This window comes from Homo sapiens, chromosome 12 (assembly GCF_000001405.40).
Source record: "Homo sapiens chromosome 12, GRCh38.p14 Primary Assembly".
NCBI classification, from domain to species: Eukaryota; Metazoa; Chordata; class Mammalia; order Primates; family Hominidae; genus Homo; species Homo sapiens.
This window is the reverse complement of record NC_000012.12, coordinates 98,704,687-98,718,050: the sequence shown is the minus strand read 5'-3', so window position 1 is coordinate 98,718,050 and position 13,364 is coordinate 98,704,687. Positions and strand designations below refer to the sequence as shown.

At 38.4% G+C, this 13,364-nt stretch overlaps 1 protein-coding gene across 6 annotated transcripts in view, besides 1 other annotated feature; it reads right to left on the bottom strand.

Moving 5' to 3' along the window:
• The window catches only part of APAF1 (apoptotic peptidase activating factor 1), a 90,144-nt gene that overhangs the window by 17,383 nt on the left and 59,397 nt on the right, over positions 1–13,364 (bottom strand). For 5 of the 6 annotated variants that reach the window (NM_181861.2, NM_181868.2, NM_013229.3 and 2 more), the window contains 4 exons: positions 11,441–11,566; positions 9,347–9,466; positions 5,616–5,732; positions 2,499–2,624 (listed from right to left, as the gene is read on the bottom strand). The exons of the other annotated variant lie outside the window; for it this stretch is intronic. In NM_181861.2, coding sequence (NP_863651.1) covers positions 2,499–2,624; positions 5,616–5,732; positions 9,347–9,466; positions 11,441–11,566 — 489 coding nt within the window. The remainder of the gene's footprint in view (positions 1–2,498; positions 2,625–5,615; positions 5,733–9,346; positions 9,467–11,440; positions 11,567–13,364) is intronic. 6 annotated transcript variants of the gene reach the window in all.
• Positions 134–334: a silencer, noted in NCBI's record as "peak1909 fragment used in MPRA reporter construct". NCBI's record gives its function as "represses an SCP1 promoter by STARR-seq MPRAs in K562 erythroleukemia cells {active_cell/tissue: K562}" and the evidence as "EXISTENCE:reporter gene assay evidence [ECO:0000049][PMID:32103011]".

The following is a 13,364-nucleotide window of genomic DNA, read 5'->3' as shown; positions in this document are numbered from 1 at the left end:
GTTGAGATCCAACATCTATTAATACTTCCTGTTATCTTCCCCAACTTAGCTCTGAGAACCTGCCAGCCAGGTTTATCCTCCAGGCAAAAGACCAGAAAATTCCTCTCTAGGAATCTGAGGAGACCAAGACAAAAGACCTGAAGATACTCACAACAAAGTTTCCCCTTTCAGATTCACCTTTTAGAGAAGATCTCAGTCAACACACAGAGCTTTCAGCCAGTTGTTCAGTACAGATCTCTGATAGCCAATGACCACTGAGAGCTAAGGAGGCCTTCAAAATAGGAGGTCAAAACAACCAAACAGAAAAAAGCAACTTGGAGGGAACAGCAACTATGCAGCAAAACAAAAATTTATGGGGAAAAAATTATATATATAAGCCAGGCACAGTGGCTCATGCCTGTAATCCCAGCACATTGGGAGGCCAAGGTGGGTGGATCACCTGAGGTCCAGAGTTCAAGACCAGCCTGACCAACATGAAGAAACCCCATCTCTACTAAATATACAAAAATTAGCAGGGTGTGGTTGTGCATGCCTGCAATCCCAGATACTCAGGAGGCTGAGGCAGGAGAATCGCTTGAACCCAGGAGGCGGAGGTTGCAGCAAGCCAAGGTCGCACCATTGCACTCCAGCCTAGGCAACAAGAGTGAAACTCCGTCTCAAAAAAAAACAAAAAAAAATTATATGTGTGTGTGTGTGTATATAATTTCTATATATATATTATATATATTTACCTGTCTGTGTGTATATCTCCTCAGAGAGATAAAATATTCTATCTACAAAATAAGAATTTAACACATTAGAAATATACTAGTAGAAATGAAAAACTCAATAAAATGGCTGGAAGGCAAAACTGAGGAAAACTCCCCAAAAATAGAGCACAGTAGGCCAGGTGCGGGGGCTCATGCCTGTAATCCCAGCACTTTGGGAGGCCGAGGCGGGCGGATCACAAGGTCAGGAGTTCAAGACCAGCCTGGCCAGCATGGTGGAATCTCATCTCTACTAAAAAAAATACAAAAAATTAGCTTGGCATGGTGGCATACGGCTGTAATCCCAGCTACTCAGGAGGCTGAGCCAGGAGAATTGCCTGAACCCAGGAGGCAGAGGTTACAGTGAGCCAAGATCGCGCCACTGCACTCCAGCCTGGGTGACAGAGTGAGACTCCATCTCAAAAAAAAATAAAGAAAAAAACATAAAGCACACTATAGAAAGATGAAATGTGGAAAAAGAAAACTAGATTATCAGTCCGGGAGATCTAACATCTGAATAATGGGTGTTACAAAAAGAGAAAGCAAACTGGAACAAAAAGGAAAGAATCAAAGAAATAATTCAACTTCCATGAATTAAAAATCATAGGTTTCCAAATTGAAAAGGAAGACTGAATATCCAAAACAATGAATAAAAACTAACAACACAGTGTATCATCAGGAAATTTCAAGATTCTGGGGATAAAATGAAGATCCTAAAATCTTCCAGAGAGAAAGATTAGGCAGCAAAATGGCTTCAGACTTTTCAACGTGAACTTTGGAACTTGGAAGAAAATGGAGCAATGTCTTCAAAGTTTTAGTGTAAAATAATTTCCAACTACACCCAAAGGTCAAATTTTCCTAAATTGCGTTAAGGCAAAAAATGCATTCACAGTACCCTTAGTACACAGTGATCATAGTAACAGGAAGGATCTAAACAAAATTTCGTTATAATTGGGATAAATGGATTGATAAATGAGTGTCTGTGAACGTGTGCATGCACATAAGCTGAAGGCAGGACAGGTGGAAGGCGGAAAAAAGCAACATCTTCCTGTAGGGAATTCGGTAGATAACTTCTCAAATGGGAAAATCAAGAAGAGCACTATAAGCATGCCATATAGAGGCATGAAGGTAATATCAAAAGAATCATCTAAAAGCTAAAAGTGGTGCCTCTGGAGAACGAGAAATGGGGGAAAGGGTCTGTTTTTCATAATAAGTCTTGTAATACTATTTGAATTTTAAAAGAATGTGCATTGGGACTTTAATAATCAAGTAAATTTTAAAAGAATATATAGTAAGTTTAGGCCTCCATATCCACAATTCTTTATTATGTCAAACCATTCTCTTTTCACAGAATTTCATTCCTGTAATAAACATTTTGTTCTTAAAAGGAAAGAATGAAATGATTTCCATTGGATTTTACTACTGTAAAGAAAAATAAAGAGAAATTACATAAATGTGGCAAAAAGTATACTTACTGATACAAATCCAAATACCAAGACAGGCAAGAAAATGCAAACAAACCCTTCATTTTCAAAATAAACAACCTTCCAACAGAGGATTCTAAGATAAACTGTCTGCCTCACCCACAGAAAAATATGAAACACCCATAGGTTTCATCTAAGCCCATGTACATAATCTGAATGTATGCCCAACGTAATGTGTTTAAAATATACACCAGATTTTAGGCATAATCATAGTGTTCCTTTGCTAGAATCAGCATTAAATATGTTAAGAGTTCATCCTCCCTCTCACCTGAATTTCAGCATCATCAGAACTTGAAATAAGAGTCTTCTCATCGGCTGTGAACTGGATGTGCCATACAGTTTTCTTGTGCTGAAACCTGGACTGGAAGATTCTATTGTTTACAAGTTCTAAAATCTTCAAAGCAGAAAAACACAGAAAATTAAGAAGAAACTAAGCAATACATAGGCATTACACCCCAAAGATATTAAACTAAAATTAGACTGGAGGGTACAGAATTTCCATCTGGTGCTTCCAGCCTAATTAAAAACAAATGAATGTCATATATATATATATATATATATATATATATATATATATATATATATGCACACCATGTATGCCTACATGCAAACATATTGGACCCTAAAATAAAACACTCACTGCAATCATCAGACAGCAGTAGGAACCAGTGGTCCTTCTGAGTACTCAACTACCCACTTCATCAAACAAGTGGCTGTCTGGGCTTGCCCTCCAAAAAAAAAAAAAAAGACATTTAAGATGGATAAGAGAGAAGAAAGTAAGTAAGTCCTGGATGAGAAGGCAAATTATTCATAAAACAACACAAACAAGGAAAGATAAAAGATGATGAGGGAGACAGGATATCAGAAGGCTGGTGGGCAGTGCAATGAGAATACTTAAGAGGGCCAAAGACTAATAATACTCTAAATAAAAGTAGTAACAAATTCAAAAGATAATGACTATGTCAAAAAAAAAAAAAGAAAAAAAAAGGCTTTCAAATGAACTCATACCAAAAAAACAAAAAGAGAGGAAATATGTTTCATTGACCAAATTAAAATGTACTCAAGAAAGCCTAAGGAAAATACAGATGATGCTAAAGCAGGAGACACCAGAAACTCAAACCTAACCCACGTCTGGAAGAAAAGCCCCTTGAAAACAAAGGGGAATTGTGTGAATGGAAACCTTCCTAAATGAGCGGGATGAACGATCTCACAAACCCTGAGGCAAGGGCAGGATAGCATAACAGTTGAGCACACAGCCTCAGAGATCTGGGTTTGAATCCTAGCTCTGCCACTTACTGATTTTATGAAAATTGTGGAAATAAGAGTTTAGACATCTTTAAAACAAGAATAACAACATCGAACATCCAGGATGTTATAAGAATTCAATGAGAGCATCTGGCACAGTAAACAGTTAATAAATGGTAGTTGCTATTATTTGATGATATGAGGCTACACCATATGAAACTGCCACTTTATAGGTAAATGCTGGTAATTTCACATGGTTCATTATGTATTATTTATATTATTTGATGACTTTGAGGGAACTAACGATGTGGATGAAGCACATATGTGTGTTGTGAGTTTATTTTTAAACTATCTAAAAGACTTATTTTAAGATAGATGGTAAAAATGAAAAGAATGTGGTACTGACTTGGCATCAAGGTAAAGAGAAAAGGGAAACCAAGGACTCTTTAAGAATAAATAATAATACACAACAGTTTGAGAGATGAGCCTGAGATGGAAGCCTAAGGTTCACCTGTAAACATACAATTATCCCTTGCTTAAGAAATACATATCCATGATGTACTTTATCCCAGAATAGTACACATCTTAACAAATGATAAATAAATTTTTCACAATAATAAAGAGAAAACAAAGCCTGAACTCTCAATCCATGACATAAGGGCCATGACAAATATATAAGAGTATTGAGATCACTGTGTAAATGCTTCCTTCTTCACTTTGTGTCTAAGCATATAGTCTCTTCTCTGTGGGGCCATATGGACTAGAGAATATTTGTGTAATTCCTTATGAAAATGAATCCAAAGTAAAATAACTGTGGCCAGTGCCATAAGTAATTGGTTAAAAAATAATTCCCAGACACCTGGTGAGAAAAAGTGAGAGAAGGAACCAAGGTTTTTGAAAAACCACTATAAAGCTAGAGAAAATGTGCTTTTGGGATGAATTTCACTTGTGATAAAGACAACAATATTTTTACCCAAAATGCCTTTTATTATACTACATTTTTGCCTTGCAAAGTGTTTCTATTTTTACCTATTTGGTCTTGTTAGATAAATTAAGGATTTCAGGTGGTGAACTGAGGTTCTTCTGCCACCAAAAGTAGAACAGCAAGGATTGGTGGAACAGGCAAGCACAGGCAGCCCTGCACCCATATTCCCCATGAGCCTTATCAGTACCGAAATGGAAACAACTTATACCCCACATGGCTGGGCTTCTAAGAAGAGGAGAAAAAAATGCTCTTTGCATAGTTAGCGAAATCTTGATAGATAGTATTTGATATATGTGGAGAACAGCCAAACAACTAAGTAGAGAATAAGGGACATAAAAAGACAAAAAGCATGAGAAACAGTAATAAAGGAAATCTGAAAAATATACAGCCAACTGGATAAGATGATTGTTAGTTTAACGAACAATGACTAATAGATCACAGAAAGATTTATTTAGTATAAAAGTGTACAATAGGCTGGATGTGGTGGCTCATGCCTGTAATCCCAACACTCTGGGAGGCCAAGATGGGTAGATCACTTGAGCCCAAGAGTTTAAGGCCAGCCTGGGCAACACTGGTGAAACCTCCATCTCTACAAAAACAGAAAAATTAGCTAGGTGTGGTGGTGCATACCTGAAGTCCCAGTTACTCAGCAGGCTGTGGTGGGAGGATTGCTTGAGCCTGGGAGGCAAAGGCTGCAGTGAGCCAAGATTGTACCACTGCACTCCAGCCTGTGCAACAAGGTGAGATCCTGATTCAAAAAAAAAAGGTATACAATAGCCAGGCACAAAAGCTCCCATGCCTATAATCCCCACACTTTGGGAGGCTGAGGCCGGACAATCGCTTAAACCCAGGAGTTTGAGACCAGCCTGGGCAACACAGGGGACCCCATCTCTACAAAAAAAAAAAATTAGTCGGGCATGGTGACGTACACCTTTAGTCCCAGCTACTCAGGAGGCTTAAGTGGGAAAATCACTTGAGCTCAGAAGGTCAAGGCTGCAGTCGGCTGTGATCGTGTCACTGTACTCAGCGTGGGTGACACAGCAAGACCCCATTTCAAAAATAAAAATAAATAAAAATAGAAGTGCACAATGCCAGACATATAATTAGTTTTATTTAATTCTGTACAGAAAGATTCTGAAGACTAGCACTGAATACCTCAATGGCTCCATTTTCATCTCCAAATGCAATGTACTGAAGATGTGGACTTAAGCAACAGCAGCTAACTTGAGCTTCAGTCAGATAATCAATCTGACCTGTTCTTCCATTAATGAGCTAATGAAAAATGAGGCAAAATCAGTTATTAGGCTGTAAGAGCAGTTTTTGTTCGTCAGAACAGAGGCTTCAATTGAAAAAAATAAAATAAAACACAGAAAATAACCAACAAGAGCTCTCAGGGGAACAACAAGCCATATCCTAGTCTTAGCAGCTGCATTTAGCACTTCACACTTTCATTTCAATCCACTTTGGTGGTTCAAATACATTTTCATAAAATAAAACAAGCATTACAAGGTTTAAAAAGCAGCTGCTGCGCCCGCCACCTGAGACACATCTATCTGATTTGTAATCCCACAGCTAGCTCCACACCATTTCTTCACAAAGCCCACTTTTAATAGGGCTATCATTTGTTAAAATATACTTTTCTGCTACATTTCAAAGCTGTTGGTCAAACAAGACTGAGACAGACATAAAAAGACAAATTAAAATGGGGCTTATATCCTCCAAATCACTCACAAAACAGTGTAAATTAAGATTCTTTTTCTTGGAGCTGGGGCAGTGAGGACAATGGAGAAGAACTCATAAGCATAATTTGTGTAGCTGGATTTACAATGCTTGAACAAAGATTACCTAATTTCATAATCTGTACCAATGCTTAAATCCCATGAATTATGATGCCTTATCACTCATCTAAAACATGTGACCTGGGAAAATATTTCTCAAGCTTAAATCAGTTGTCAGATACCTCTCTCTTAGTGTCATAAACTAAAATTCTTGAATTATTTTTCAACATGAAATAGGCAGGCATCTTTGTTTCTAGTACAAAGATTACAGAGTCAACCAATCACAGGTAGTTTTTCCTTAACATTATTTTACATAGCACATTTTGATCTATTAGATATTCAAAATGAAAATTGAACTACGAAGAGCTGAACATCTTCTCTCAAAAATCAATTTCAAGAATTCTTTAAGTAGTAACTAAAAAATGTTTTATTCACTTAAATGAAACTATTAAGTTTATCCTCTAAACTCTCCCACAACCACTGACATAGAATGATACCTTTATAGACAGATGACTTTTTAAGTCTCACAGTTACAACAGTCATTAAAGAAAGGTTGCACAAATTTAATAAAGGAAATACAAGCATGAGGACACTAAATTTGTCAAGAAAACTGAAGTAGAAATATCCCAAGTGGAAGAATCAGCTTTCTAAAAAACAGTTAATGAGAAATTCACATTGAATTCCATATCCCAATTCACCCCAGAAGTACTGTGCATTAGGAGCTCCTAATCAGCATATTGAGGACAATAGTAAAACTTGTAAAATCAAAGCAAGCCATATTCAGAGGTGACTTACAGCTTGATTTTGACACCCACAGTAAACAAGAAGTTACCACATACCAGGCGATTTACTCCCAGTATCTACTCCTGAATTTGGATTCTACTTTGACCCTGTAACTAGCTCAGAGACTGTAAAGATGAAAAGGACCTTTACAAACTGAGGCTCAAAGACGTGATACAATTTATTCAACATCATAGAACTAGTTGATAAAGAAGTCTGAACTTACACCTAGGTCTCCTTAGTGAAAAGTCACTATTCTCTCCACTACACCAAGCTGAGCTCTACAGCTTTACAACTTGTTAAGGTTTGAGTGGGGCATGGCAGCTCTTGCCTGTAATCCCAGCATTCTGGGAGGCTGAGGCAGGAGGAGCACTTGAGGCCAGGAGTTCAAGACCAGCGTGGTCAACATAGTGAGATGCCCCCATCTCTACAAAAAAAAATTTTTTGAATGACAACTCATTAAACTCTGTCCTACCCTCTGTCCATCTGTCTCAATTGTCTGCTTCCTCTCAGACCTTCCACACATGTGCTCTATTACTCTCGTCTTCTCTATTCTGCTCCTCTCTCTCCTCTCTAGCTTGACATCACTATCTCATTTCACTCTCTCACACACATTCATGCTCCCTATCTTTCAATAAGCAAATCAAGAAAAATCAAACGAAAAGATGGCATAAGACTATGTTATCACTGCCAAAACCTTTCCCTAGAAGTTAATAAAGCACTTCTAAAACCCATATGGAAAAAGTTAACTCAAGCTGTATTCGTGCTCTTCAAGAGCTAATGAAAGGCCCTAAATATACTATGAGAAAATAGTTTCATCTCTACTAAAAATACAAAAAAAAAAAAAAAAAAACCCTTAGGCCGGGCACGGTGGCTCACACCTATAATCCCAGCTCTTTGGGAGGCCGAGGTGGGTGGATCACTTGAGGTCAGGTGTTCAAGACCAGCCAGGCCAACATGGCACAAGCCTGTCTCTACTAAAATTACAAAAATTAGCCATGCGTGGTAGCACACATGTAGTCCCAGCTACTCAGGAGGCTCAGGCATGAGAATCTCTTGAACCCAGGAGGTGGAGGTTGCAGCGAGCCAAGATCGTGCCACTGCACTCCAGCCTAGGCAACAGAGAGAAACTGTCTCAAAAGAAAAACAAAAGAAAGAAAATTAGCCCTCACTATGAAAGGGTTTCTGTCCTTCTCAATCCTATGTCTCAGGGAATCCTCAGGGCAAGGGAGAATGTCCCACCAGTTCACATAAAAGCCATGCCACCTCCTGCCCTTCTTATCTGGCTGCTTGCTCTTACCACCTCTCTCAGCCACAAGTCACAGTGACATGCTGTCAGCTCCACATGCTGACACTTCCTTCAATGGTCCATACTCTGCTGTTCTGCTTGGGCTGACCAACATATAGATAGCCTCTTGTGTTTTAATCTTCCATGAGGCATCTGCTTTCTCTTGCTGCCACTATCTACAACGCTATCACCACTTCCAGGACATCTCTGTCAATGCAACGACACCTTATTTAGCCACCAGCACAGTGATGCCAACCTGCTCTTGAATTCCAGTGCTCCTTAGGGCATCTGCTCTTAGGGCATCTGTTACCACCACTCCGAGCTCCTGAATACCATTCCTCTGCCAATGGATCTTTGGGACTCCTTCTCTCTTCAGCTAGTTGAGAAATGCCTTCCTCTCACGTGTCCCACTCTTTGTTGGGTGGCAGAAGGAGAACAGACTAGAGTAGTGCTGTTTGGATCCCTAAGCAATACAGTTCTTTCAATTGTACTATACAACCCTTTCCTCCTCAAGGACCAAAATAAGCATTCAATAAATATTTACTGAACAAAGGTGTGTGTAAATGAACAGGTGTACTTCAGTATGTAAAGCCCAGCTCCTTTCACCTCAGTTCCAATCAATCAGACTCCTTCCTCACCTAAAGTGACTTCTGTTCTTTCAAAGACCCTGGAATCCTTCCCTTTTAAAAATGCTTCCATATGCTCATCCCCCTTGCACACTCCATCAGACATGTCTGAATCACTCTTGTAGACAACATGAGTTTGTCCTCATGGTATTCTTAGACTCCATGCAAATCAAAGAATGTGATCATAGATAGCAACAGAAGAGCAGTGAGATGAGGAATTATCTAATTTAATTCTAAATATAAGCATATCTGAGCCTCAGCTCAAGACTTATATATATTTATTTAACTAATGTCTGCTGGACACCTGTTAGATACAAAATAATTATGCTTAATCTCAAGTCCAAAAACAAGAAAAACCGTGAATAGAAAATTCAACCAAAACAATTTTCCAATTGTTTTCTAAAAAATACTCACTTGCAGACGTCTTATATGGTCAACTGCAAGGACCATCACTTCATTTTCTTGAAACACAACATCTACTTCTTGCTTTAACATTACAGCAGAGTTCTTACATACTTTCTTTGTCTCCCAGAGCTGATTAAGAGATAAAGAAATTATCATTCCATCTCTAAAATAACATGTCTTCATCTTAAAGCGAGAGACAAACTATGTTTCACATAAAATACCTATGATGCTAGAAAGGTTTCAATATTAGATTATAATCCAAAAATAAATATTTACTAACACAATCTATAGTAAGATGCAGTTAGTATTAAGAGTTATGGGCTCCAGAGCCAAAATTCCTCAGTATGAATTCTAGTTCTACCTAAAGTTGTAACTTCAGGCAGGTTGCTTAACCCAGTGTTACTCAAAGATAAAGACCTCCTGCTGGTTATCAAACTGTTTGATACCAATCCACAAGGTAAGAAGTTTGGGCCAGGCGCAGGGGCTCACACCTGTAATCCCAGCACTTTGGGAGGCCAAGGCGGGTAGATCACCTGAGGTCAGGAGTTCAAGACGTCTGACCAACATGGTGAAACCCTATTTCTACTAAAAATACAAAACTTGGCTGGGCATGGTGGTGTGCACCTGTGGTCCCAGCTACTCAGGAGGCTGAGACAGGAGAATTGCTTGAACCTGGGAGGTGGAGGTTGCAGTGAGCCAAGATAGTGCCATTGCACTCCAGCCTGGGCGACAGAGCGAGACTCCGTCTCAAAAAAACAAAAAGAAGTTTGTACCAGAACGTAAATCAACTACATCACTAAACACACTGTAACTGTGTCTAGTGATGCAGCTTATTTCATTTCAAGAAGACTTTCTTGATGAAGAAAGCAATGTGTTGATTTATATTCTGGCTCAAGCTCATTGAGACTGGCATGTTAAGAACCAATGACCTTTCTCAGTCTTTCTCTGCCTGTTTCCTCATCTGCAAAAGGGACTATTGTGAGAATTAGTAAATTTATATGTATATATATATATATATATAGTACTTTGCATAATGTCTTGAATATAGTAAGCACTGAATGAATTTTAGCTATAATTCATACATAATGCTGTATTAGGATGCTGTGGGGACCAGCCAGGGTTCCTGGCCTCAAAGAGCTTATAATGTAAGATACGTCAATGAGCCAGAGAAGCAGTGGAGTGTTGGAAATAAGGAGTAAATCATATCTGTATTTAAATTCAAGTCAAAATTTGATAAGCACCACTAGAAAATGACATAGAATTAGATGGCATTAAGAGAGACAGGCATTCTCCCCAAATAGAGAAGACTTGAGGGGACTTATAGAATGGTTAGGATTTCAACAAACAGAGATACAGGTAAGTAGAGCATTCCAAATATAAGAAACCACTTAAGGAAAAGCACAGAAGCAGGGAACTACGGAGTGTTTGGGAAAATGTGAGCAGTCCAGTGTTGGTTCCCTGTAGGAATAAACTGGGAGACAGAGTGGAGCAGAATAAGGCCATGCTGTGGAGAAGCTTAATGGCAGAAACAGAAGTATATATTTACTTTGGTAGACAAGGGAGCCACTATCTTATTTTTGAGCAAAAATGACATGACTGCATTGTACATGAAAAAAAAATATCTTAGAAGCTGCATGCAGAAAAGCAAGAAAGAAGACTTGTGGCAGAGACTAATACAACAAGAGAAGTAACAGTTAACAAAGTCCTGAACTTGGGCAGCAGAAATGGAAAGGTAGAGATAATAATAGAAAATGAAAAGGTAGACTCTCTCAGAATTGGCAAGTAATTGGATGTAGGAATTCAAGGTAAAGAAAAGGGTCAAAAATTTTTCTGAGGAATCAAATGCAGTATTTTAAATTAACCAAAATACAGTTTAATCACTGAAGTTCCCACAGCACTTGGCCCATGGTAATCCTCAATGAACATGTAACGAATGAATGAGACTGTTACAGTCCATATAACAGCACTTTTCCAGGGTGAATAGGAATATAGTACTAGTTTCCTATTCTGCTTACCTCAGTGCTACCCATCAATTTCTTAGTTTGTAGGAGGTTTAGCTCACCATCAGGAAATGTTCAAAATGAAAATCTCAATATTTCTCACCCTGATTGTCTGGTCATCAGAAGATGTCAAAAATGATGATCCATCAGGAGAAAACATCACACCATGAACCCAACTTAAATGTCCTCTGCAATCAGCCACCTTTGAACGTGAGTCTGTATTCCACAACTACAGAATAAACACAGCATATAGGAAATCACATACATAAGCATTTTGAAGAGAGCAAAAATATTGAAAATAGCAAGAATGAGCCAGCAATACCACTTCAATGAATATTGCTCAGAAACACACTATCAAAACTACAAAATGTCTTATGCAGAAGATTATTTAGTGCATCATTATTTTTTATAGCAAAATACTAGGAAACTAAATACTCATCAATAGGGAACCAACTGAATAAACTACATTAATCACATAATGGAATATCATGCAGCCATTAAAAACAATGAGAAAAACACCTTGATGACGACAAATCTCTAGGATATATTGTTAACAGAAAAAAAGCAAAGTGTAGAAGAGTCTATATACTATACACTACTATCTTTTATATGAGATGGAAAAATATGTACAAGAACATATAGAAGGATACAGGTATGGATATATATGCATATAGATATCTGCTTATATATGCAAGAAATATTGGACAGTTAAGCCAAAAACAGAAAATAGTTTACATATGCAGGGAAGGAGGGAGAGCGAGGCGAAGGGATAGGGATGAAAGCAAGACTTCTCTGAATATAACGCATTATAAAACTTTGACTTTGGAATCATGCAAATATTTTATCACTTTAAAAAAGTCAATCCAAAAAATAATAGGATGAACAAAAGCAGCTTCCATATTCAGATTATTTTCCACTAATACTGTCATCTAACCTTCATTTCAACTGACTGTAAAACCTACAATAAATTAACACAATAATTGTAACATGTACACATTTCTCTTGTTATTCATGCTTATTACCATGTCTACCAGCAGCCTGGTATTTTATCCTGGGTTCTGCTGTAAATTACTCTAATATATTCAAGTCTAATGAAGTACCATATGTGACTGAGTTCCTCTCATTACACTTTAAATTACAGAACTACTTTATCATTTCAGAACTAGCATGGACAAAACAAGTACCTCATCATAGGCCCAGTGACTGGTTTTCATTCAGTGAGTTCTGTGGTTATGAACTAATTATATGAAATTTTCTCCGCCTTATCTCTAAGAGTCCAAGCTGGGACATACAGAGCTAAGGGCCAAAAATGAAAGTGGTTCCACAACTGAAAATCTCTCCTAAGAAACTGAAAATCTCCCTTGAGAATCCTCCCCTCTCTTCCCACTTTCTTCTCCCCATCTCTCTCCCATCATTTCTTTGTCACTCAGAGCCTCCAGAGCTGAGTCCCTACATTTCAAGAAGGAAGATACTCTTTCATTGTTTCCTGGAGATTGCTAAGGATGGCAGAGGGTAAGGACTTTAGAAGTGACAAGAAAGGCTGAAAGAGGGGTTGCTACTTAGTACTGTTTCTAAAAATCCTAACAAACGCTCCACATTTACTTTGAGGATCTACACATAAGGTTCAAGATCTCCTAGGAGATCTAAAACCCAATAAACCCCAGCACTTTGGGAGGCTGAGGCAGGTGGATCACTTGAGGTCAGGAATTCGAGACCACCCTGGCCAACATGGTGAAACCCTATCTCCATGAAAAATACAAAAAAAAATTAGCCGGGCATGCTGGTGGGCACCTGTAATCCCAGCTACTCAGAAAGCTAAGGCAAGAGAATAGCTTGAACCCGGGAGGTGGAGGTTGCAGTGAGCTGAGATTACAACACTACACTGCAGCCTGGGTGACAGAGAGAGACTCTGTCTCAAAAACAAAGTAACACAAAACAAAACACTTCCAATTCAAAGTCTCTGCCCAACAAAACACTGCCCACAGCACCCTACTTCTTCCCGCTGTTTCATACAGGACTAGAGCTTT